This window comes from Homo sapiens, chromosome 10, assembly GCF_000001405.40.
Source record: "Homo sapiens chromosome 10, GRCh38.p14 Primary Assembly".
Lineage (NCBI taxonomy): Eukaryota > Metazoa > Chordata > Mammalia > Primates > Hominidae > Homo > Homo sapiens.
This window is the reverse complement of record NC_000010.11, coordinates 21333771-21359888: the sequence shown is the minus strand read 5'-3', so window position 1 is coordinate 21359888 and position 26118 is coordinate 21333771. Positions and strand designations below refer to the sequence as shown.

At 44.0% G+C, this 26118-nt stretch overlaps 1 long non-coding RNA gene across 1 annotated transcript in view, besides 2 other annotated features; it reads left to right on the top strand.

Annotated features, from left to right (window-relative positions):
* LINC02643 (long intergenic non-protein coding RNA 2643) overlaps positions 1-19656 on the top strand; it is a 32718-nt gene extending 13062 nt beyond the window's left edge. The window contains exons 4-5 of the long non-coding RNA NR_155751.1: positions 5125-5218; positions 19576-19656. This is a non-coding gene — a long non-coding RNA (long intergenic non-protein coding RNA 2643). The remainder of the gene's footprint in view (positions 1-5124; positions 5219-19575) is intronic.
* Positions 3252-3751: an enhancer, noted in NCBI's record as "H3K27ac hESC enhancer chr10:21645067-21645566 (GRCh37/hg19 assembly coordinates)". NCBI's record gives its function as "activates a minimal SCP1, AML or CMV promoter by ChIP-STARR-seq in naive H9 embryonic stem cells {active_cell/tissue: H9 hESC(naive)}" and the evidence as "EXISTENCE:reporter gene assay evidence [ECO:0000049][PMID:30033119]".
* Positions 22732-23283: an enhancer, noted in NCBI's record as "NANOG-H3K27ac-H3K4me1 hESC enhancer chr10:21625535-21626086 (GRCh37/hg19 assembly coordinates)". NCBI's record gives its function as "activates a minimal SCP1, AML or CMV promoter by ChIP-STARR-seq in naive H9 embryonic stem cells {active_cell/tissue: H9 hESC(naive)}" and the evidence as "EXISTENCE:reporter gene assay evidence [ECO:0000049][PMID:30033119]".

Here is a 26118-nt window from a genome sequence, read left to right as displayed (position 1 = left end):
AATAAAATAAATAAAAAGATTAAACGATTTGTTTTTTTTTTACCACAGTAGTTTATCTCAGTTATGAACAAATTAAAAATGAAAAGATAAAACAAAAAATTTCATAATCTTACCATACAGCAAGCAACTTGGTATATATCATTTCAGTTCTTTATGAATATATGTATATTTGTGAAAATCAGACTATATTGTATGCAGCTTTATATCTTTTCCCTTAAAATAAAACCTAGAGATTTTGGTAAATATCTTGATTCTGATTGACTGTAGTCAGCTTAGTAAGCTGCAGAATGCTGACTGGGTAATCTCACAGAGGGAAGGGGGCTATCTTCATACTGAGTAAATTTGGTTTTAATATGTGACGTATGCCCTGTACCATTTTCAGTAGTGTGAGGTAGGGAAGAAGAAATGGCATTGATCTACTACTGTAGAAACTTTGCCTATGATTTACAAGCATGAGAATTTGCTTTGCCTGTTTTATGACTCTATTCAACCCTGAATTATGGGCTGTTTATTTTTTCTCTCTCTTTGATTAGATTCATGAGAGAGTTGTTTGCCTGGTTCAGTCAAAATACAAATCCAGTGTTGTTCCTATACGTCTTACAGCTTTTCCTTTTGACAAATACAAGAAGACTGGGATGTAGCAGACAGAGCATTTACCAGCTGCCAGGCATTGTCTTAAGCACATCATACAATAGGGTTTGAACCTCTGAAAACCCTATGAGGTAGATAATGCCAGTCTCTTAGTCCAAGTTTTCAGGTTAGAAAAATGGAGACTTGGAGAGATGAAGCAACTTTTTCTAGTTATTAGAGCTAGTAAGTGTCAGAGCTGAAATTTAAGCCCAGTGTGTCTGACTTTAAACCTACCTTTTAAACACTGTGCTTATTGTCTTCCAAAGTGAAACTAATTTATTTTAAAAATACAATTAAGGCCGGGCGCGGTGGCTCTCACCTGTAATCCAGCTACTTGGGAGGCTGAGGTAGGAGAATCGCATGAACCCGGGAGGTGGAGGTTGCAGTGAGACAAGATCACCCCACTGCCCTCCAGCCTGAGTGACAGTGCAAGACTCCATCTTGGGAAAAAAAAAATTTTTGACAAATAGCCGGGTGTGGTGGCTCACGCCTGTAATCCCAGCACTTTGGGAGGTTGAGGCGGGCAGATCATGGGGTCAGGAGATCAAGACCATCCTGGCCAACATGGTGAAACCTCATCTGTACTAAAAATACAAAAATTAGCTGGGTGTGGTGGCACGTACCTGTAATCCCAGCTACTCAGGAGGCTGAGGTAGGAGAATTGCTTGAACCTGGGGGTGAAGATTGCAGTGAGCCGAGATTGCGCCACTGCCCTCCAGCCTGGGTGACAGAGCGAGACTCCATCTCAGAATAAAACAAAACAAAACAAAACAAAAAGAAAACACTTAAAAAATTTAACAAATAAAATTGTGTAGATTTTTTGTGTACCACATGACACTTTGTAATATGTAAACATTGTGGAATGGCTTGGTTGAGCTAATTAACATGTACATTACCTTACTTATTAGTTTTTGTAGTAGGAGCATAAAATCTACTCTCTTAGCAATTTTCAAAATACAATTTGCCTATGCCTGTAGTCCCAGCTACCTGGGAGTCCCAGCTGAGGGAGAGGATCGCTCGAGCCTAGGAGTTTGAGGCTCTGTAGTGTACTATGATCACACCTGTGAATAGCCACTGTACTCCAGGCTGAGCCATATAGCGAGACCCCATCTCTTAAAAAAGCCAAAAAACCAAAAAACCAAAAACAAGTCAATATTATTAACTATAGTCACCATGTTGTACAATAGATGAAACTAATTTATTTTTACATCTTGTTCTTCAAATACGCAAATTTCATCAGATACGTGACACCGTAGATTATAAAACACATCATTATTTTATATTCCAATATCAATAAAAATGTAAATGTAGAGTGCATCTCAATTTCTGAAGTTATAATGTGAACAATATGTAAGCCTTAGAATCAATGAAATATGCTAAAATTATAACTAGAAGAGGCTGATACTATGTCCCCACTTGCATGGGTAGGGCTGACAATATGAGTCTGGCGAATGCAGTGCATTCTCAGGGGTGAGGTCTAGCAGGCACCACCATACATTTTCAGCTCACTTGCAGGAATAGTGGTTGTGCAGTTGGATTTGTTGCTGCAGTTGGATAAGTCATTATTATTCCTGCCCACAGTCCCAGAAGCTTGGAAGCACCAAGCTGCCTAGAGCTACTTGGAAATAATAATAGAGCAAGAGAATAGGGGAATAATGGATGAGGTATGTGCAGCACTTTGTATCTGTGATTTTGAATGTGGGACATATACATCCAGCGGTTCTTTCCCTGCAATGATGTATTGAACAACAATAGCAACATTTTATGATTTCTGGGAAATATCTGCCACAAAATTATAGCTAAAGAAGGAAATCAAATCAGTCCAGCAGAATTATTCCAGGAGTATAGAACGAGATGAACAGAGGGCTGAACACTGAGCCTAGAGAAATGCCTGCAGAGAGTGGGTATGAGGGAGAAGAGAGGGCAGAAAGGTGGGGAAGTGGGAGCGAAAGGGAGGGATGAGGGCTAAACCAGCAAAGGGCTGAAGCCAAGGATGGGATGAGTTTCTTAAAGGCAGAGGTAGACATAGGGATTGAATGTTACTGCGGGTTCACTGACCAAAGACTGTTTGTTGGTCAAGGAGCTTAATGGATCTCATGCCTATAAGGAGAATAGAAGGAGGCAATTTGAAAGCAGAGAAAACCCTTTTCCCCTTTATTATTATTTGTTTACTTTTTAGAGACAGTCTCACTCTCACTCTATTGCCCAGGCTGGAGGGCAGTGGCACCATGATAGCTCCCTGCAGCCTCCATCTCCTGGGCTCAAGCCATCCTCCCCACTCAATCTCCAGAGTAGCTAGGACTACAGGTATGTGCCACCACGCTTGGACAATTTTTAAGTTTTTTGTAGAGATGGGGTCTTACTATGTTGCCTATGCTAGCCTCGAACTCCTGGGCTCAAGAAGTGCTTCCGCCTTGGCCTCCCAAAAGTGCTGAGATTACAGGAGCGAGCCGCCAGGCCTAGCTTCCTTTATTATTTTTAGAAATGTTACACAGGTAAGGGAAGGGCAGTCTTCCCAAACCTGGCTGGATAGATCCTTACAATACTAGTTTTTGTATTAGGGGTCTTCTTGGTAACATCTGCGCACACTTCCTTCCACCTTTTTTTTTTTTTTTTTTGAGATGGAGTCTCGCTCTGTTGCCAGTCTAGAATGCAATGGCGCAATCTCAGCTCACTGCAACCTCCGCCTCCCGAATTCAAGTGATTCCCTTGCCTCAGCTTTCTGAGTAGCTGGGACTACAGGTGTGCGCCATCACGCCTGGCTAATTTTTTGTATTTTAGTAGAGACGGGGTTTCATCAACTTGGCAGGATGGTCTCGATCTCCTGACCTCATGATCTGCCCGCCTCGGCCTCCCTTTTTCTTTTTTTTTTAGAGATGGTGTCTTGTTATGTTGTCCAGGCTGGTCTCAAACTTCTGGCTTGAACACCTAGCCCAAGTTCAAGTTCACTGTGCCCAGTTTCTTCCACCTTCTGAAAACCCCAGCTCCTGTGATACCCTCATACCTCATGCTTCTGAATGGTCACTCCTACTTCTTGGGCTGAACTTTCACAATTACCTTGACCCAATTTTTTTTCTGCTCCCTACACTTTCAATGTTGACTTTCCCCCTGATTTTATCCTTAGCCTTTTTCTCTTCTTTATTCTCTGCACACTCTTTGGAAAATCTCATTTATACTCATGGCTTCAAAAATTACCATCTATTTGTTCTTGATGCCTAAAACACATTTCTAGCCCAATTCTCTCCCCTCAATTTCTGAGTCAGCTTCATTCTCTCTCTCTCTTCTTCCTTCCTTGCCATTTGATAAATTTTGCAGCTTACTGCTAGCAATGTATCCATGACTCACGAGAATGTACTTCAGGTATGCATTTTGCCCTTAGCTTGATTTTATTTTTTCTGTCCTCATTTTCCCTCCCACACTCCAAAATCACTTATCTAGACTTCAGTCGTTTTCCTGTCTTTAGTGTTGTTTCACTTTATTTTTCAACTGTGAGCTCCAAACCAGGCAAATCAGATCAAATGTGAGGGAAATTCTTCAATGTCTTACCATTGCCTACAGGTTAAAACAGAAATGCCTTTACCTGGGACACATGTCCCTTCATGACTTGGCCCCTACCTACCTAGCTGACATCACTGGGACCTGTTTCCCAGCTTGATTTTTGACTCAGGAATGCTGAACTACTTGTAGCTGTTGTTCGTATCTTTCTTTCTTTCTTTCTCTTTCTTTCTTTTTGTTTGTTTGTTTGTTTGTTTGAGACAGAGTCTTGCTCTGTTGTCCAGGCTGGAATGCAGTGGTAAGATCTCGGCTCACTGCAACCTCCGCCTCTAGGATCAAGCGATTCTTCTGCCTCAGGCTCCCGAGTAGCTGGGATTACAGGCGCCCGCCACCATGCCTGGCTAATTTCTGTATTTTTAGTAGAGACGGGGTTTCATCATGTTGGCCAGGCTGGTCTTGAACTCCTGACCTTAAGTGATCCGCCCGCCTCAGCCTTCCAAAATGCTGGGATTACAGGTGTGAACCACCACGCCTGGCCCTATATTTCTTTGCCTCTACCTGGATGCACTGACCTCCCCTATTTAATTTGCTGGACAAACTCATACCTATCTTCAGTTCTTCCTCTGTAAAGCTTTCCCCTGACTCCCAGTTTAGATGCCTCCTTTCTTAGGTTCCAACTACACTTTTTCTGCTTTGTCCACAGAAAGCTTCTTCAGGGGTTTACTTTGATTTTAAAAATTGCCATTTATTTAGGTTACATATAAAAAAATCAAGCTCTTTTCAGGTCAATTTAGAAATTTCTGTTTATAAATCTAGCAAATCACAACACTGTAGGAGGGGCACCTTTGATTAATATTTGGTCCCATTTACACATCTAAACTTTCACTTATTTGAAACTGCAATAATAACCCATCAATGTATTTATTTCCCTTTAAAGTAACTCAGATGTCTGGCTGTTAAACTTTCCAAAAGGTTTAATTATCTGTTTCTTTTCTTGAGATGGTGGGCCTTGCTATGTTGCTCAGGCTGGTCTTGAACTCCTGACCTCAAGTGATCCTCCTGCCTCAGCCTCCTTGAGTAACTGGAATTACAGGTGTGTGCCAACTTGCCTGACTAAAATGTTTAATTTTTATAAATCTAATCGTTAAACATGACTATATAGCCAGCCTTAATTCTAAGTGCCAATATTACATAAAACGTAGTAAACTTTCGACTTAAAATTGTAAGTCTAGGCTGGGTATGGTGGCTCACGTGTGTAATCCTAACACTTTTGGTGACGAGAAGGGATGATCTCTTGAGCCCAGGAGTTTGAAACCAGTCTGGGTAACATAGAAAAACTCCCATTTCTAAAAAAAATTTATAAAGTAGCCAACAGTGGTAGTGTGTGCCTGCAGTCCCAGCTACCAGGAGGCTGAGGTGGGAGGATGGTTTGAGCCCAGGAGTTTGCGGCTGCAGTGAGCTATGATCGTGCCACTGCACTCAGACCGGAGTGAGACCCTGTCTCTACTGAAAAAAACCCACAGAAACCCAAATATATATATATATTTATATAAAAAAGATTTCAACATATGAATTTTTGGGGGGAACAAATAGTCCATAACAAATATTATAAGTACTATATTATTAATACTTCCAGATTCCTTAATATCAAGATATTAGTAGTACAAGTTTCACTCTCTTAAAAATTTCTTTCTTTCTTTCTTTCTTTCTTTCTTTCTTTCTTTCTTTTTTGAGATAGGGTCTTGCTCTGTTGCCCAGGCTAGAGTACAGTGGCACAGTCTTGGCTCACTGCAACCTCTGCCTCCTGGGTTCAAGCAATACTCCTGCTGCAGTCTCCCAAGTAGCTGGGACTACAGGCACCTGCCACTATGCCCAGCTGATTTTTGTATTTCTAGTAGAGATGGGGTTTCACCATGTTGGCCAGGCTGGTCTTGAACTCCTGACGTCAAGTAATCCACCCACCTCGGCCTCCCAAAATGTTGGGTTTATAGGCGTGAGCCACTGCGCCTGGTACTCTTAAACATTTGTATATTTCATTTTGAATCCTCTCATGGTTAAATATTCTTGCCCACTAAAGAACAATCACAGTTAGGGATTGCCTTCCCAAGATAATTTTTTGGGAAGGTGTGACAGAATCCATGTCTACAATAGAGTAGGAATACCTTGAGCCCTACCCTAGGTGCTATGTCAGTGATTCCATAACTTACAAAAGGTGGCCACATAATTTCACATCCTTTAAGTTCAAGTTTTACATTACCAAATCTTCTACTATCTCTTTACAGTGTCTATAAGCCCACATCCACTGATTGGATTTTGGATACTAGCTCTGAATATCCCTGAACCTGATAGAATTCTAACCGCTCCCCCCAAGTAGGTTTCCTGTCTGGGAGAACTGCACAGTTCTTCCAGATATTAAAATTATTTCCAATTTAATTCTGCAACTCTCTCATGAAAGAGTCACAACTTCTCCTGTTACCTGGGATACATCATAAGCACACAATAAATGTTGGGCCAATTAATGGCATGGCTGAGTGTGCAAACGGATACCAGGTAACACAGAAGAATTTTTATAACTGCTACTTATTTTTCTCTCCCTTCAAAGTATAGCATGGTGGTTAAAAGCCTGGGCTTTGCAGTCAGACAGTCCTAAGTTTACATTTCCTGACACTTATTAATTAGGTGACATTGGGCTAATTATTAAGCCTTTCTGAGCATCAGTTCCTCATCTGTAAAATGGAATGACAGGACCATTATAGGGTGGTTGAAGATAAAATTATATGTTTAAGTATATACATGCACACATATGTGTTATAAGCTGAAATATGTGCTCCCAAAATTCCTATATTGAAGCCCTAACCCCCTCTATCTCAGAATGTGATTATATTTGGAGATAGGATCTTTAAAGAGGTAATTAAGTTAAAATGAAGCTCAAGGGGGGCTCTAATCCAAATGGACTGGTGTCAGCCAGGTGCAGTGGCTCACGCCTGTAATCTCAGCATTTTGGGAGGCCGAGGCAGGAAGATCACTTGAGGTCAGGAGTTCAAGATCAGCCTGGCCAACATAGCAAAACCCCGTCCCTACTAAAAAATACAAAATTATCTGGGTGTGGTGGCACATGCCTGTAATCCCAGCTACTCGGGAGGCTGAGGCAGGAGAATCACTTGAACCCGGGAGGCAGAGGTTGCAATGAGCTGAGATGGTGCCCTTGCACTCCAGCCTGGGTGACAGAGTGAGACTATCTCAAAAAGCAAAACAAAGCAAAACAAAAACAAAAACAAGACCCAAATGGACTGGTGTCCTTATAAGAAGAGGAGACTAGGATACACAGAGGGACAGCAGGGGCATACGTGCACAGAGGGACAGCCGCATGAAGAAGCAGCAAGAAGGCAGCCATCTACAAGCCAAGGAGGGAGGCCTCAGAGGAAACCAGCCCTGCTCACCACCTTGATCTTGGATTTTCAGCCTCTAGAACTGGAAGAAAAATAAAATTCTATTGTTTAAGTCACCCAGTTAATGATTTTGTTATGGTAGCTCTAGTAAACTAATTTTATATATCTGTATTTATATCTAGCTTAGTACAGTAGCCTAGCTCAATAAATGGTATCAGAGGAACCCACCCCCAATATTTCAACATAGGTTCTTTCTATCTTCCATAAGTGTTGGCCAGCTGAGAAATAAAGAGAAAGAGTACAAAGAGAGGAATTTTACAGCTGGGCTGCCAGGGGTGACATCACATATCGGTAGGACCATGATGCCCACCTGAGCCTCAAACCAGCAAGTTTTTTATTAAGGGTTTCAAAAGGGGAGCAGGTGTAAGAACAGGGAGTAGATCACATGCTTCAAAGGGCAGAAAGGAGAACTACTGATAAGGGTCTAACAAAGATCACCAGGCAAAGGGCAAAAGCAGAACTACTGATAAGGGTCTATGTTCAGTGGTGCATGTATTGTCTTGATAAACATCTTAAACAACAGAAAATAGCGTTTGAGAGCAGAGAACCAGTCTGACCACAAATTTACCAGGGCTGGGTTTTTCCCCACCCTAGTAAGCCTGAGGGTACTGCAGGAGACCACTGTGTATCTCAGTCCTTATCTCAACCACATAGGACAGACATTCCCAGCGTAGTCATTTACAGACTTCCCCCCCAGAAATGCATTCCTTCCCCAGGGTATTAATATTAATATTCTTTGCTAGGAGAAGAATTTAGTGATATCTTCCCTACTTGCATGTCCATTTATAGGCTCTTTGCAAGAAGAAAAATATGGCTCTTTTTGCCTGACCCCGCAGACAGTCAGACCTTATGATTGTCTTCCCTTGTTCCCTAAAAATCGCTGTTATTCTGTTCTTTTTCAAGGTGCACTGATTTCATATTGTTCAAACACACACGTTTTACAATCAATTTGTACAGTTAACACAATGATCACAGTGGTCCTGAGGTGACGTACATCCTCAGCTTATGAAGATAACAGGATTAAGAGATCGAAGAAGACAGGCATAAGAAATTATAAAAGTACTATTTGGGAACTGATAAATGTCCATATTAAAATGAAATCTTCACAGTTTATGTTCCTCTGCCATGGCTCCAGCCTGTCCCTCCGTTTGGAGTCCCTGACTTCCCGCAACAAAATGGTAGTCATTATAACTGTTATTTAACTTTCCAATGAAACTGCTGCCCCCTAGAAAAGGTTATCCCACAAGTCATATGCAAACGGTCCTTTTTTTTTTTTTTCAAGACAGAGCCTTGCTCTTTCACCCAGGCTGGAGTGCAATGGCACAGTCTCGGTCCACTACAACCTCCGCCTCCCAGGTTCAAGCAATTCTCCTGCCTCAGCCTCCCGAGTAGCTGGGACTGCAGGCACCTGCCACCATGCCCAGCTAATTTTTGTATTTTTAGTAGAGATGAGGTTTCACCATATTGGCCAGGCTGGTCTGGAACTCCTGACCTTGTGATCTGCCTGCCTTGGTCTCCCAAAGTGCTGGGATTACAGGAGTGAGTCACCAAGCCCAGCCAGCAAACTTTTCATTGTTTTCTGAGTTAAACATAGGCGTGCCTCTTGTCTGCCTGATCTCAAGCATCCCTGGCTGTGAGCCCTCCCTGATCTCCAGGGAGATATCTTTGCTCCTCCTCTGGGATTGGGGTCTGCCTATGCTGTTTCTCAGTTGCCGTCATCGTCTGTCTCCATAACCATCTCTCTCACCGAACCAGGCTTTGTGCATCTTTGTATTCTGGGTACCCAGCGCAGCATGTCAGGAAATTCAATTCAATAAACTGAGAAATAAGTTCACTGAGAGTTTAGGTTTATTTACTTTATCTTGTTAACAACTGCAATGATAACACTGCGGGTTAGGGAGCAACTTTCATGTTTAGTCTCAAACGTTTTCTCAAGAGTCGGTGCCGGGGCCTCCCAGCATTGCAGTGAGCTCGGGACATTCTTAGCTGCTTCAAACAAGAAGATATAGCCTGTTTAACTTGCCAGGATTCATGTAACAGAGGCCTGGTCCCATCTGGGCATGTACAAGACTTGCTTCATTTACCTGGAAATTGCAGGTATCTCTTCCTCATAATGAGGTTTCTGAAATATTCCTTGTTTTTCAGAGACTCAAGCTATTAGCCAAGTAGGAGCTAGCAATAGCTCTTAACCAATGGCAAAAGGGTCAGATATTTCCTGTGCTGTTTTTACTGTTTATAGCAGGGCTGACACAATTTGCTGTGGGAAGAAAGACTTGAACTGTCATTATAGATTTTCTCTCCTTGTGTGTGACTTAGCAGGACACTGACATTGGGTCCTCCCTGAAGGTCATCTTGAACCGAATATGCGCCCCTAACTTTCCTTCCAACCAGGCAACAACGGCACAATTTCTTGGCTATATCTTGTTTGCTTTTCAGCAACGGCAAGCCAAAAGCCATCCCAGCACAGAAATAACTGGGATGCCTTTTGTTTCTTTGGCAACTGTTATATCACTCTTGCCTTTCCTTATTTGATGAGAAGGTAGTAGAGAAAAAAATGATAGTGATAATCTCACACAATATGTAGGTATTTTTACAAACCAGTCTTATACTTGAAAATAATTTTATAATACATCAGGAAAATATCAAAGAAAAATATAAGGAAAAGGGAAGAATAGGATTATTGTTAGAAAATATAAAATACCATACTTGCCTTTAGAGAAAAATTTACAGTGTAATTAAATGAGCCAATATCAAGGTGTTTTAATAATCTAAAATATTATTTTTATATACCCTACCACGTAAAATACTCGGCAGGGATCTAACAAATGAAATGTAAACCTTTCCTATATTTCTTTTACATACCATCAATATAGCTTACTACTATTTTGCTTCCTTTACTCACATGCTTAAGAATGAAGTACTATCCTAAAGCAGAAGAAAAATAAAGGCACATCAAACATGCATGCTGCCTATTAACATCTGTTTATTCTAATTTAATTTTTTTTTTTTTTTGAGATGGAGTCTCCCTCTGTCACCCAGGCTGGAATGCAGTGGCACGATCTCAACTCACTGCAACCTCTGACTCCCTGGTTCAAGCGATTCTCCTTCCTAAGCCTCCCGAGTAGCTGGGACTACATGCATGTGTCACCATGCCTGGCTAAGTTTTGTATTTTTAGTGCAGATGGAGTTTCGCCATGTAGCCCAGGCTAGTCTCGAACTCCTGACCTCAAGTGATCTTCTGCCTCAGGCTTCCAAAGTGCTAGGATTACAGGCATGAGCTGCTACCACGCCCAGCCTGTTTTAATATTAATTCAGTATCAATAAACTCAGAAAACTGATTGCACTAACAGGATAATGGTAATTTTCATTATATAAGGAAAGTACTTAATTATTCTATCTTGATCACAATTTGGAATAAACACTTGTCTGGTCTAGCAATAAACTGGGCACTTTCTTTAGCCAAAACAAACAAACAAACAAAAAAAGGGTCAGATATTATCCATTGATACAGTTTGGATATTTCTCCCCTCCACGTCTCATGTTGAAATGTGAGCCCCAGTGTTGGAAGTCGGACCTCGTAGGAGGTGTCTGGGTCCTGGGGGGGGGATCCCTCATGAATGGCTTGGTGCCCTCACCACAGTAATGATTTCATGCCAGATCTGGTTGTTAGGGTCTGGCATCTCCTCCTCCTCTCTCTTGCTTCTGCTCTTGCCATGTGACGTGCCAGCTCCCAGGTCACGGTCCTCCATGATTATAAGCTCCCTGACCCCTTACCAGAAGCCAAACAGATGCTGCTGCCATGCTTGTACATCCTGCAGAACTGTCAGCCAAATAAACCCCTTTTCTGGGCCGGGCGCGGTGGCTCTCGCCTGTAATCTCAGCACTTTGGAAGGCCGAGGTGGGCGGATCACTGAAGGTCGGGAGTTTGAAACCAGCCTGGACAACATGGTGAAACCCCATCTGTACTAAAAATACAAAAATTAGCTGGGCGTGGTGGCGGGCACCTGTAATCTCAGCTAGTTGGGAAGCCGAGGCAGGAGAATCGCTTGTACCTGGGAGGTGGAGGTTGCAGTGACCCGAGATCGTGCTACTGCAATCCAGCCTGGGTGAAGAGTGAGACTCTGTCCTAAAAAAATAAAAAATAAATAAATAATAAGCCTCCTTTTCTTTATAAATTACCCAGTCTCAGGTATTCCTTTATAGCAATGCAAAATGGACTAACATATCCATAAAGCCATTGACCAGGTGAAGAAAAATGATGATGGAGTCTGTTATCTGTCCACCACACTCTATCCTCCCATTCTTCCTCAGTATTAGAACACTACTGCGGATTTTGGCTGCATTTCCAGGGGCTACATTCCCCTGGCTCATGTCCCACTTTGCAGCAAACTGTGGCTATGCAACCCAGCTCTCACAGATGGAATATGAACAGAAATGTTGGGAGCAACTTCCCATTTACTTGATTAAGAGAAAGTCTCTAGCCCTGAACTCACCTCTTGCCCCTATCCTCGAAGTCTGGCTTGGCCACAATTTGGACATCCTTGGAAGTCATGTGTGGAAGGACTGCCATCTGCCACCCTGGACTGGGGACAAACCCACCTGGAATTCTTAAACTGGACTGTTAGATGAGTAAGACATAAACTTATCTTGTTTGAGCCATTGAATTTTTGGGTCTCTTTGTTACAGCAGCTATCATTTCCTCACCCAGACAGAGGCTAAAGCACTACATGTATATACCATTGCCTGGAGCACATAATCGTGCAAGTCCAGCACCTTAAGGTAGCGTAGGCACTCCCTCCTTCTCTTGCTTCCTTTGGTACTGTTCATCCAATATTGGCTTTGGTATCCACCTGTAAACCTACTTTTTTTCTCCTTTCTTTTGACCAGGAAAAATGCCTGCAACGTTGTCAGCCTCTAACCTCTGACTTCCAGGCTTTGCCCTCTCTTTATTCCCCTCTCACTAGCAGCTAGAGTATTATTTTTGAGGATGAATGAAAGTAGCCGCCTCTGGCTATGCACCCCAGTGACTCCTCCCTATAGCACCATAGAGATGATGTCTCTGTGGTTGTCGCGAAACCCAGACCTTGACTGGGTGTGCTGACTCAGACTTGTAATCCCCAGACTTTGAGAGGCTGAGGTGGGAAGATCATTTGAGACCGGGATTTCAAGACCAGCTTGGGCAACATAGTGAGACCCCATCTCTACAAAAACTTAAAAAAAAAAACAAAATCAAACAAACAAAAAAACCAGCCAGGCATGGTGGTGCACACATTTAGTCCCAGCTACTCAGGAGTCTGAGGTGGGAGGGTCACTTGAGCCTTTAAAAAAAAAAAAATCCCAGCTCTTTACTGACTCTATGCCTTCTCCACCCAGGGACATTTAATACACACTGTAAAGTCTGAATAGGCTGCCCTTGGGACAAGGGCCTGAGCAAGGGAGGCAAGGTAGACGTGCTAGGCTGAGGGAGCCACACCACCATGACGAAGAATGCATATATTTTTGTTTTGTTTTGTTTTGTTTTGTTTTGACGGAGACTTGCTCTGTCACTCAGGTTGGAGTGCAATGGTGTGATCTCTGCTCACTGCAACCTCCACTTCCCCAGTTCAGGCAATTCTCCTGCCTCAGCCTCCCAAGTAGCTGGGATTACAGGCACGTGCCACCATGCCCAGATAATTTTTTGTATTTTTAGTAGAGACGGGGTTTTGCCTTTTTGGCCAGGCTGGTCTTGAACTCCTGACCTCAGGTGATCCACCCACCTCGGCCTCCCAAAGTGCTGGGATTATAAACGTGAGCCACCGCACCTGGCCAAGACTGCATTTTACCACTTCAGTTACATCACTCTCCTGACTGCAAACTGCTCTTACCTCTTTCTTTCCTCTTTGTGATTCCTCATTTTACTCCCCCCAGGAGACAACTTTGTTCTCCTCCACAGTGGGAACATTTTTCTGATTATTCCTAAAATATATTATTATTATTATTTTGAGATGGAGTCTCACTCTGCTGCCCAGGCTGGAGTGCAGTGGCACGATCTTGGCTCACTGCAACCTCTGCCTCCTGGGTTCTAGCAATTCTCCCTGCCTCAGCCTCCTGAGTAGCTGGGATTACAGACACGTGCCACCATGCCCAGCTAATTTTTGTATTTTTAGTAGAGACGAGGGTTTCACCATGTTGGCCAGGATGGTCTCGATCTCCTGACCCTGTGATCTGCCTGCCTCGGCCTCCCAAACCTAAAATATATTATTATTTTTTAGAGACAGGAGCTCGCTGTGTTGCCCAGATTGGAGTGCAGTGGCTACTCACAGGTGCAATCATAGCTCACTGCAGCCTTGAACACCTGGGCCCAAGCAATCCTCCTGCCTTGCAAGGCCTCCCAAGTAGCTGGGACTACTGGCATGTGCCACTGTGCCTGGCTTAAATGTATTTTTACACTTTTTTAAAAAATTAGTATCCAAACAAGTTTCCTAGATTGTGTTTGATTTTTAGGTCTCTTAAGTGTCTTTTTTTTCTATGTCAGTGCTGGTCCCCCATTCCCTACTTCTATTGATTTGTTGGTAAAACCAGTTCATTTGTCCTAACAAATGAATACACCCTGGATTTGTCTGATTTCTTTGTTGTGGTATCTTTTAACTTACTTTGGTGTGTGTGTCAGATCTTTTAGCAAGCATTTTAGTTTGGCCTAGAGAACAGGTTGTGAGCTCTGTTTCTGTTTCTGACCATGTTGTATGGGCAGGTCACTTAAGTCCTCTATAGGCTGGTATTTCCATGCCCCCTCCCCCTCCAGCCCCAATGCATGCCATCATTTTTCTATCTGACAAATAGGGTTGATCATAACTTGCTCTGCTTTTAGAATGACATGAGAATGAAATGATGTGCTCTGTGTGGTAAGTATTAAGGTTCTTAGGTAGAAAGCGCTCTCTAAGAATGGTTACAAAAACTTCTTTTCTTTTTTTTGAGACAGAGTTTCGCTCTTCTTGCCCAGGCTGGAGTACAATAGCACGATCTTGGCTCACTGCAACCTCCGCTTCCCAGGCTCAAGCAATTCGCCTGCCTCAGCCTCCTGAGTAGCTGGGATTACAGGCATGCGCCACCATGCCTGGCTAATTTTGTGTTTTTAGTAGAGACGGGGTTTCTCCATGTTGGTCAGGCTGGTCCCTAACTCCCGACCTCAGGTGGTCCGCCCGCCTCGGCCTCCCAAAGTGCTGGGATTACAGGCATGAGCCACTGCGCCCGGCCAGAAAAACTTTTCTTTAGGCTGGAGGAAGTTCGATAAATTTAGGAATGCAAAAGCTTTAGTGACAGGGAGTGGGGAGAAAGGCATGAATTCATTGGCTGTTGAGATCGATGTTGCTCTTTTCCTCTCTGCGTATATATCACAGTGTCTAGACTTACATGGTAAAGGCGGGCACAAAAACACAATACGATCCAATTAGAAGTGCCACATTCCATTAAGCTTATTCTGTTTGCCTTCTTCCTTCCTACTTCGAATAATTGTGAGTACCAGGTAGGTTTCTGGCCGTTTCTTTATTCTTGGTGGTGTGATAACAGCAAAATAGGACAAGAAGAACATTCAGATGTGGAAAACTGCATTGCATAGGCTGATCGTACAATGTCTGAATAGGTAACAGGGGACCTTTCAGCTTGCATCAAGAGACCCCGAAATCTCAGCTCATGGATTGCCATCCAATTTATTGAGGCTGTCCTCTTGTCCTCATAGCTACCTGCCTGGCCATTGCACTGTTTTCCTTACCAACCAGGATTCCTGAGTGCAATCTGATGCAGGACTCCCTCTCTCGTTCCTTTCAAAGCCTCAGTGTCAGAGTCTCCTGCCCTAAGTGAACATGGAAGCTCTCAGTTACCAAACGGTTGGTCGCCACATAAGCTGCTGGGATTTGACACCATAGCAAAGTATAAGAAGCTCAGGGTAGCCTTTTAGGTTTGAGAGATTGAAAAATAATTTTAGTATTTAGAATGTAAAGAAAAGCACTTCTTTCTTCCTTCTTTTTTTAAAGACAAGGTCTTGCTATGTTGCCCAGGCTGGAGTGCAGTGGCGTGATAACAGCTCACTGCAGCCTTGAACTCCTGGGGCTCAAGCAATCCTCCTGGGTAGCTAGAACTATGCTTATCACTATGCCTGGCTAACTTTTTCTTTTCTTTTCTCTTTTCTTTTCTTTCTCTCTCTCTTTCTTTCTCTTTCTTTCTTTCATTCTTTTCTTTCTTCCTTTCTCCCTCTCTCTCTCTCCCTCCCTCCCACCTTTCTTTCTCTCTCTTTCTTTCTCATTCTCTCTCTTTTTTCTTTCTTTCTTTCTCTCCCCCTCCCTCCTTCCCTCCCTCCCTCCCTCACTTCTTTCTTTCTTTCTTTCTTTCTTTCTTTCTTTCTTTCTTTCTTTCTTTCTTTCTTTCTTTCTTTCTTTTTCTCTCTCTCTTTCTTTCTCCCTCTCTCTCCTTCTTTCTTTCTTTCTTTCTTTCTTTCTTTCCTTCTTTCTTTCTTTCTCACTTTCTTCTTTTTTTTGAGACAGGGTCTCACTATGTTGCCCAGTCTTATCTTGACTTGTCTTGACTTCTTGTCTTGAATTCTTGGCCTCAAGTTGTCCTCCCACCTTGGCCTCCCAAAGCACTGGGATGACAGGTGTGAGTCACTACATCCAGCTAAGAAAAGCGCTTCTGATCCTCAGTGTGCCCTGTGTTCTGGCAGGACTGCTTGCAAACCTTAGCTACTGCTCCTAACATCGGCCCCATGTGGCACCATTGAAGCTGGGCACCCAGGGTTACACAGTCAGCATTTGCTAAGGGCCTGTCTGAATGCGACACGAGCTTGAGCAGGAAGCTTTTCTACTTGGTATAGTAGATTGTATAGTCCCTCCTGCTTCCCAAAGATATGTCTACCTGGAACCTCTGAATGTGACCTTAGTTGGAATAATGGTCTTCACAGATATAATTAAGGTAAGAATCTCAAGATGAGATCATCCTGGGTTACGGTGGACCCTAAAACCAATGATGAGTTTCTATATGAGGCAGCAAAGGGGAATACAGAGAGACACAAGCGAGAAGGCCACATGAAGATGGGGGCAGAGACTGGAGTGATGCAGCCTCATGCCAAGGAGTGCCTGGGACCACTAGAAGCTGGAAGAGGCAAGCCAGGCTACTCCTCTAGAGGTTCTGGAGGGAGCACGGCTTTGCTGGCACCTTGTTTTCAGATTTCTGGCCTCCAGAACTGTAAGGGAACACATTTCTGATGTTTTAAGCACCAAGTTTGTGGTAATTTGCCATGGCAGCCAAACGAAAGAAATGTACTCAGCCCATGTAAAGACCTCACCCTCTGTCTGATCCTTGATCACTAACAAGTCATTTATTTGTTTGTTAATTATTATTATTATTTGAGACAGAGTCTTGCTCTGTCGCCTCAGCTCACTACAACCTCCACCTCCCTGGTTCAAGAGATTCCCCTGCCCCAGCCTCCCAAGTAGCTGGGATTATAGGCACACACCATCACACCTGGCTAATTTTTGTGTTTTTATTAGAGATGTGGTTTCATCATGTTGGTCAGGCTGGTCTTAAACTCCTGACCTCAAGTGAACCACCTGCCTTGGCCTCCCAAAGTACTGGGATTAGAGGCATGAGTCACTGCGCCCAGCCTGTTTATTTATTTGTTTATTATTTTGAGACAGGGACTTGCTCTGTCTACCAGGGCTGGAGTGCAGAGGCATGATCATAGCTCACTGTAGCCTCAACCTCCTGGGCTCAAGTGATCCTCCCACCTTAGCCTCCCTAGTAGCTGGGACTACAGGCATGTTCCACCATGCCTGGCAAATTTTTAAATTTTTTGTAGAGACAAGGTCTTGCTATGTTGCTCAGACTGGTCTTGAACTCCTGGGCTCAAGCCATTCTTATGCCTCAGCCTCCCAAAGTGCTAGGGTTACAGGTGTGCATCACTGTGCCTGGCCACTAACAAGTAACTTTTTTTTTTTTTTGAGATGGAGGCTCAATCTGTCACCCAGGCTGGAGTGCAGTGGCGCAATCTCGGCTCACTGCAAACTCCATCTCCCAGGTTCACGCCTTTCTCCTGCCTCAGCCTCCCGAGTAGCTGGGACTATAGGCGCCCGCTACCACACCTGGCTAATTTTCTGTATTTTTAGTAGAGACGGGGTTTCACCTTGTTACCCAGGATTGTCTCGATCTCCTGACCTTGTGATCTGCCTGCCTCGGCCTCCCAAAGTGCTGGGATTACAGGCGTGAGCCACCGCACCCGGCCACAAGTAACTTAAATTTGAAAAATTATTTCCCTGTCTAGGTAAACCCCAAATTATACTTTTCCATAAGTAGAACATGACAGTTCTTCCAATGGCTGAAGTTTTATTTTTTATTTTTATTTATTTATTTTATTGATATGTAGTTTCACTCTTGTCGTCCAGGCTGGAGTGCAATGGTGCAATCTCAGTTCACTGCAACCTTCGCCTCCTGGCTTCAAGCGATTCTCCTGCCTCAGCCTCCTGAGTAGCTTGGATTACAGGCGTTAGCCATCACACCTGACTAATTTTTGTATTTTTAGTAGAGGCAGGGTTTTACCATGTTGGCCGGGCTGGTCTCAAACTCCTGACCTCAGGTGATCCACCCACCTTGGCCTCCCAAAGTGCTAGGATTACATGTGTTAGCCACTGAGACTGGCCTGGCTGAAGTTTTAGAGAGAAGAGGTGGAGATATTTTAGAGGTTGACTATCTGGCCAGTTAGAAAGGACCTCATAGGTTTGCAGTGTCGTGTTGAGGTCAGCATGGCCCACAGTTCTGTTCCCAGGTTTACAAAATAAGAAACCTTTACCGTATTAGCATACCCAGTGTTGAATATGTTCTTCAGGGATAACCTGTGATAAAAGTAAAGTCGCAACCAAGAGATGTATGAACTAGAAAGATGATTTGTCAGTTTAGGATAGGAGACCTAGCTCTGTAGTGATGGGGATGCTCACATATCTTGTTCGTGTCTCCCTCTTTCTAGATTTAGTATACTAGTCAGCCTAAATCAATAATCAAAAACTAAGTGCAGTGGCTCACACCTGTAATCCCCACACATTGGGAGGCTGAGGCGGAAGAATCTCTGGAGCCCAGGAATTCGAGACCAATCTGGACTACATAGCAAGGCCCCATTTCCACAAAAATTAAAAAAATTAGCCAGGTGTGGTGGTGTGTGCCTGCGGTTCTGGCCACTCAGGAGGCTGAGGAGGGAAGATCGTTTGAGCCCAGGAGTTCGAGGTTGCAGTGAGCTATGATTGCATCACTGCACTCCAGCCTGGATGACAGAGCAAGACTCTGCCTCTAAAAAAGTTAAATAAATAATAAATAATAATTAGAATATTACTTGGTGCGAGAGTAACTGTTGATACTCACCCATGTTCATGTCGTCGTCCTCTTCCTTGGCGTACTGCTAGACAATATTGCCTGCCCCTTGCTCCCTACTGTCATCTAGATGGGGCCATATGAGGAGTTCTCTCCACTGGAATATGAGCCAAAGTGATGTGTGTTACCTCTGGGCCAAGAGTCTTAGGGGTGGGTGTGCTTTCTCTACCATTGCTCATCCCCCCGTCCATCTGCTCAATGAACGGTACTTCAAGGAGCCTGGGGAGGGTGGTGCCACGGTATTAAATGGTCCTCGGTCCCTGAATGCCTTTGTGGAGTACAGACTACTCCTGGCCCAATTCTCATTGGCATGTGATGTGACAGAGACATAAACTTTTATGGCTTTAAGCCAGTGCATTTCAGAGTTATCTATTATAACATCTAGCATAACTCACCCTAAGTCACATATGTGGTCAGCATGGAATTAGAGCAAAGGGATTTGGATAGTCATAAATAATGTTCCATTGGGATGATGGTAAATCTGGTGAATTGCTCCTTCCCTGCAAATGGAATCCAGCTCTCCAGAAACCAGTATCCTTATGGTTTCATCTCAAGCTCTTTGGAGCTCCCATTTTTCTGAGTATCCTTCTGCTAAAAACACTCTTTCTTCAAACAGGGCTCATTCCAGTGGTCTAGGCTGCAGCTCCTGGTTGGAGTCACATCCAGCCATGCTTTCTGTGCCCTGATCAGCTGGATTAGATGTGAAGATTCTCAGAATTTCAGAATTGAGATGCAGAGATTCTCCATTCAGAATCTCAGAATTCCCAGATTCTCAGAATCTCCAAAAGGTAAAATATTTTGGGCTACCTTTTCAGGTGACTGATCTAAACATTTACATATTATCATGCATATAACATTCTTTTTCCTTCTTTTTAATTGTAAAATTAAGACCTGACATGGTAAAAAAAAAATCTCTTGTTTATTCTTCCAAAAATTTTGAATGCATATATAAGTGCATATATGTGTGTTTTATTTAAAACACAAATAAATGGTATTTCTCTATATCTATTTTTTTTTACCTTGCTGTTTTAGCTTTTCATTGACTATTATATCTTGGGAGTCCCTAAAGGATCAGAGGGGCTGGGCGCAATGGCTCATGCCTATAATCCCAGGACTCTGGGAGGGCCTAAGCAGGTGGATTGCTTGAGTCTAGGAGTTTGAGATCAGCCTGGATGACATGGCGAAACTCCATCTCTATAAAATTTACAAAAATTAGCCAGGCGTGGCGGTGCATGCTTGTAGTCCCAGCTACTTGGGAGGATGAGGTGGGAAGATCGCCTGAGCCTGGGAGGCAGAAGTTGCAATGAGCCAAGGTCGTACCACTGCATTTCAGCCTGGGCAACAGAGAGACCCTGTCTCAAAAAAAAAAAAAAAAAAAAAAAAAAAAGATCAGAGATGAATAACATATTTCTTGCTTTTTGGGAGTATGTCAGGGGGCAGATAAACCATGAGTATAAATGACCTAAAAAGTAGAGTATATGATTAGTAGCATTTGGGAGGCACAGTGTGCTGTCTATTTAAAGGATAAAGCAATTATATGAGGTTTTCTGGGGAATGTATGGAAAAAACTCTCATTTACTGAGCGTCTTCTATGTGCCAGGTACTGCACTAAGTGCTTCATGCACAGTATCTTTTTAAGTTACAATACCTGAGTGAGGAAGGTATTATCATCTTATCCCCATTGTACAGATTAAAAACATGGAAGCAGCCAGGCGCGGTGGCTCATGCCTGTAACCCCAGCACTTTGGGAGGCCGAGGCAGGCAGATTACTTGAGGCCAGGAGTTCGAGATCATGACTGGCCAACATGGTGAAACCCCATCTCTACTAAAAATACAAAAAATTAGCCGGGTGTGGTGGCGGGCATCTGTAATCCCAGCTACTCGGGAGGCTGAGGCAGGAGAATTGCTTGAACCCGGAAGGCGGAGGTTGCAGTAAGCTGAGATGGCGCCACTGCACTCCAGCCTGGGCAACAAGAGTGAAACTCCATCTCAAAAAAAAAAAAAAACATAATAATTAAATAAAAATAAATAAATAAAATAAAAACATGGAAGTTCGGCGGGGATGATGGCTCATGCCTGTAATCCCAGCACTTTGAAAGGCTGAGGCAGATAGATTGCTTGAGCCCAGGAGTTCGAGACTAGCTTGGGCAACATGGTGGAACCTGTTTCTATTAGCCAGGTGTGATGACACACGCCTGTAGTCCCAGCCACTCAGGAGGCTGTAGTGGGAGGATCGCTTGAGCCCCAGAGGTAGAGGTCGCAGTGAGCCAAAATCACACCACTGCACTCCAGACAAGGTGACAGAGAGACCCTGTCTCAAAGCAAAACAAAACAACAACAACCAAACCAAACCAAATCTACCAAAAACATGGAAGCTCAGAGTGGCCAAATAACTTGTCCATGGACACATAACTAGCAAGTGGTTTAACAGGGATTTTAACTTCAAAGCCCATGCACACTTTTCACTTTACCTGGCTCTCAACAAAAATTCAAAATGACTTACACAGAGACCAAACCTCTGAGTAGCAGATTAGAATCATTACAAGTGTTGGGTGTGGAGGCACGTGCCTGTAATCCCAGCTACTTGGGAGGCTGAGGCGGGAGGATTGCTTGAAGCCAGGAGTTAGAGGCTGTGGTGAGCTGTGATTGCACCACTCCACTCCAGCCTAGGCAACAGAGTGAGACCTCTTCTCTTAAAAAAAAAAAGAAGAAGAAGAACCATGATAAGTTATTAGGTAGGTCTTTCACTTCTATGATCAATGTTAGTTGTTTATTTGAACAAGGAAGCTCTTCTGTTGTCTCGTTGAGAGTAAGAGGCTGGGTGGACTCGGGCAAGACTCTGAACACATCTTTGTCAATTTTAATATGGAGAGTATGATAGTGAGTGACCTCCAAGGGTGAGTATGAACATTCAATGTGTTAATACACACAAAACCCTTGAAAGAATGCCAGACACATAGTAAGTGTTGTAAGGTGTTGACTACTATGATTACCAGAGATGTCTGTGGATTTGAGAAAAGGAAGGGAAGTAGGAATAGGAGAGGCAACAAAATTGAGGACTGAAGAGAAGGGTCAGATTCTGAGAGGGCCTTTAAGCCAACATGGAGCCAGAAGGCTGTTGGGAAAGTAGGCAGAAATTAAGGAACATACTCCACCCCACCCCGGGGCACCACACCTGGTGCAGCCTGATGTTTAGTTTCATGTATCCCTGGCCTCCTGTGCTCCCCTGCTGGTTGGAGACTTAATAGCTGCTCAGACATTTTTTGCTGTTCACTCCTTGGTGATTGGAGGTGAAAAGAATGCAAAAGGGTGTAAATCAAACAGGAAGCCCCTTTTTAGTCTCCTGCTGGATCCCAGTCAAATGAGGAGGGCATCATCAATGGTAGACTGAATAAAGAAAATGCAGTCCATATACATCATGGAATATTATGCAGCCATAAAAAAGAGTGTGACCATGTCCTTTGCAGGAACATGGATGGAGCTGAAAGCCATTATCCTTAGCGAACTAACACAGAAACAGAAACCCAAAAACCATGTTTTCATATGTAAGTGGGAGCTAAATGACGGGAACACATGGACACATAGAGGGGAACAACAGACACTGGGGCCTACCGGAGGGTGGGGGCTGGGAGGAGGGAGAGGATCAGGAAAAATAACTAACGGGTACTAGGCTCAACACATGGGCGATGAAATAATCTGTATAACAAACCCCCATGACAAGGATTTTACCTATGTCGCAAACCTGCACTTGTACCCTTGAACCTAAAATAAAAGTAAAAAAAAAAAAAAAAAAAAAAAAAGACAAAGGGGAAGGGCCTCCTGGTGAGTCAGCCTGAGTCACCGGGTGGGAATGTGAAGTATTCATTTGGAGAAGGGCTCTGGCGTTGCCTCAAGTCATCAGTGTTCTCAGTAGATAATGCACTGAAATCTCTCCACATATACGTGGCCTTAGTATGTCTGAGTTGGAGAATATCAAGTCTCCAGCCAGCCTGGGAGCATAGGATGCCAGGGCTACACAAAGCTGAACATCAAGCTGCACTGAGTGTGGTGCACAGGGGGTGGGGCAGGGTCACCCCACAATATTGGACTTGGGGCATGAGTGGGGGAGGTTTGAAGATCCTAGACAGAAGGTGTCATGGTCCTGTGAAGACAGAAGTAATGTTTTGCTAGTAATAAGTGATTGTTTCTTCCTCCTCTTTGCCTTGGCATGTGACAGCTTGCTGGTCCCCCGGGCAAATGCAGCCGCTAGGGAGGGGCACCCGCATGGAGGCGGTATGCAGCTGGCTGCAGAACAAACAGCAGAGAAGATGTCTGAGTTGGAGGACATTGAGGCTCCACCAGCCCTAGGGGGCACAGGAGACCAGGGACACACGAAACAGAACAGCTGCCTGACCTCTGCCCTGGGTCACACTGGCATGGGCTCCATCTGTTCCTGAATGAGGAGAGAGGCTGAAGTGAGAGCCTGACATTTGTCCTTCTCTCATCTTTCTGTCTAGCCTGTCCCTTAATCGGGCTCTGATAAGAGGCGACAGGAGACTCATATAAGCACCAGCTTTGGGTCCTTGATGATAGGTTATTGTAAATGACATGGAGGCCCTTTACAAAGAATGGATAAATTGCTCCCAACAGAGGCAGGAGGAATGCTTGAAGCCAGGAGTCTGAGACCCCATCTCTACCAAAAATGTAATCATTAGCCAGGTGCTGTGGCAAGCACCTGTAGTCCCAGCTACTTGGGAGGTCGAGGTGGGAGAATCACGTGAGCCTGGGAAGTTGAGGCTGCAGTGAGCTGAGAACACGCCACTGCACTCCAGCCTGGTGGACAGAGTGAGACTTTGTATTAAAAAAAAAAAAAAAGAAAAAATCAGCCAGGTGCAGTGGCTCACACCTGTAATCCCAGCACTTTGGGAGGATGAGGCAGGTGTATCTCTTGAGGTCAGGAGTTTGAGACCAGCCTGGCCAAAATGGTGAAACCTCATCTCTACTAAAAAAAAAATACAAAAATTTGCTGGGCATGCTGGCGGGCAGCTGTAATCCCAGCTACTTGGGAAGCTGAGGCAGGAGAATTGCTTGAACCCTGGAGTCGGAGGCTGCAGTGAGATGAGATCGCACCATTGCAATCAAGGCTGGGCAACAAGAGCGAGACTCCATCTCAAAAAAAAAAAAAAAGAAAAGTCACAACTTCTTGGTGAGGAGGTTCCAACAGGAGGGTCTTCACTGGGTGTTGTCAGGCAGTCTATGAATTTATAATATCGTCTCCTTGGAGAATTTTTTTTTTTTTTTTTTTTTTTTTTTTTTTAGCGTCGAGAGTGTGGTCCTTAGCCTCAGAGGCACAAAATCCTCATTTATCAACCCATGGATTGTGGAGAGTGGAGTGTTTCTCATGGCTGGAGTAATATGAAGCAAACTCAGGGAATGATGGATAAACCAAAGTTCCTGCCAATTTCTCATGACTAAAAGGGCTGAGGGGGACCGAATACTGGCAACTTTTGACCAACAGCAAAGGCAGGCTACATGGGAAGTCAAATTCTACAAGAAGAAGCTGCTTAGGGACCTCAGAAATCAGAACTAGGGGAGCTGGTTTTCTAATACAAATGTTAATGATGCCAGAGTAAGATGATCTGCTATGTCCACCTGCACAGCGGAAGATCCCTGTCATCTTGCCTAGGCAGAGTGAGTTGTTGTTAGATTAGATCAGGACCCGCCCTCCCTTGGCCTGGGCTGAGGGGCCACTGCCAACATTTGCCTCTGACATTCTACTTTTTAAAAAAAGTTTCTATGACTCACCACAGGCTTACGAATGCAGACGGTCTGGTTAATTCAAGCTTGGAGTTCTGGAAATCATCGCATCATTTTAGGGCAGTGTTTCTCAAAGGGTGAGCTTTTGAACACATGCAGCAGAATCACACACATGCTTGAGTATGTGTGTTGGTTAAAAATGCAGGCCGGGTGCAGTGGCTCACGCCTGTAATCCCAGCATTTTGGGAAGCCGAAGCGGGTGGATCACCTGAGGTTGGGAGTTCGAGACCAGCCTGACCAACATGGAGAAACCCCGACTCTACTAAAAATACAAAATTAGCCAGGCGTGGCGGCGCATGCTTGTAATCCCAGCTACTCGGGAGCCTGAGGCAGGAGAATCGCTTCAACCTGGGAGGTGGAGGTTGTGGTGAGCCAAGATCACGCCACTGCACTCCAGCCTGGGCAACAAGAGCAAAACTTTGTCTAAAAAAAAAAAAAAAAAGGCAGATTCCTAGATCTCATTTCTGTTGATCTGAATGAGTGTCTCTGGGGCTGGGGGCTGGGAATCCCAATGTGAATTTTAAGCCAACATGCCAGTTGAATTTAATGTACAAAAAATTTGAGAATCATTGTTTTGGGGCGACCTTGTGTATCTCTGTAATCCATTATGAGTTGATTTTGGAGTGGACCATCTTATATCCAAGGCTTATGAAAATCTATTTAATATTGGTGACACTTTGGCTATCTTCGTTATGTTGTTGGTTACAAAATGCAATTGGATGTTGTTTTTATTTTTTTTTTTATTTTTTGAGTCTGAGTCTTGCTCTGTCACCCAGGCTGGAGCACAGCGGCGCCATCTTGGCTTACTGCAACCTCTGCCTCCCAGGTTCAAGCAATTCTCCTGCCTCAGCCTCCTGAGTAGCTAGGACTACAGGCTTGTGCCACCACACCCAGCTAATTTTTTTGTATTTTTGTATTTAGAGGCAGGGTTTTACCATGTTGGCCAGGCTGGTCTCAAACTACGGGCCTTAAGTGATCCACCCGCCTTAGCCTCCCAAAGTGCTGGGATTACAGGCGTGAGCCACCGTGCCTGGCCAGATATTGTTTTTAAAACAGATTCTTGAATTGGGGTAATTCTATGTAATGAATATAGTCATGATTCTGGTATGTAGTTCTGGTATGTAGAAAAGGCAAAATCCCAGCCTGGCCAACATGGTGAAACCCTATCTGTACTAAAAATACAAAAATTAGCAGGGTGTGGTGGCGTGCGCCTGTAGTCCCAGCTACTCAAGAGGCTGAGGGAGGAGAATCACTTGAACCCTGGAGGCAGAGGTTGCATTGAGCCAAGATCGTGCCACTGCATTCCAGCCTGGGCGACAGGGTGAGACTCTGTCTCAAAAAGAAAAAAAAAAGAAAAGGCAAA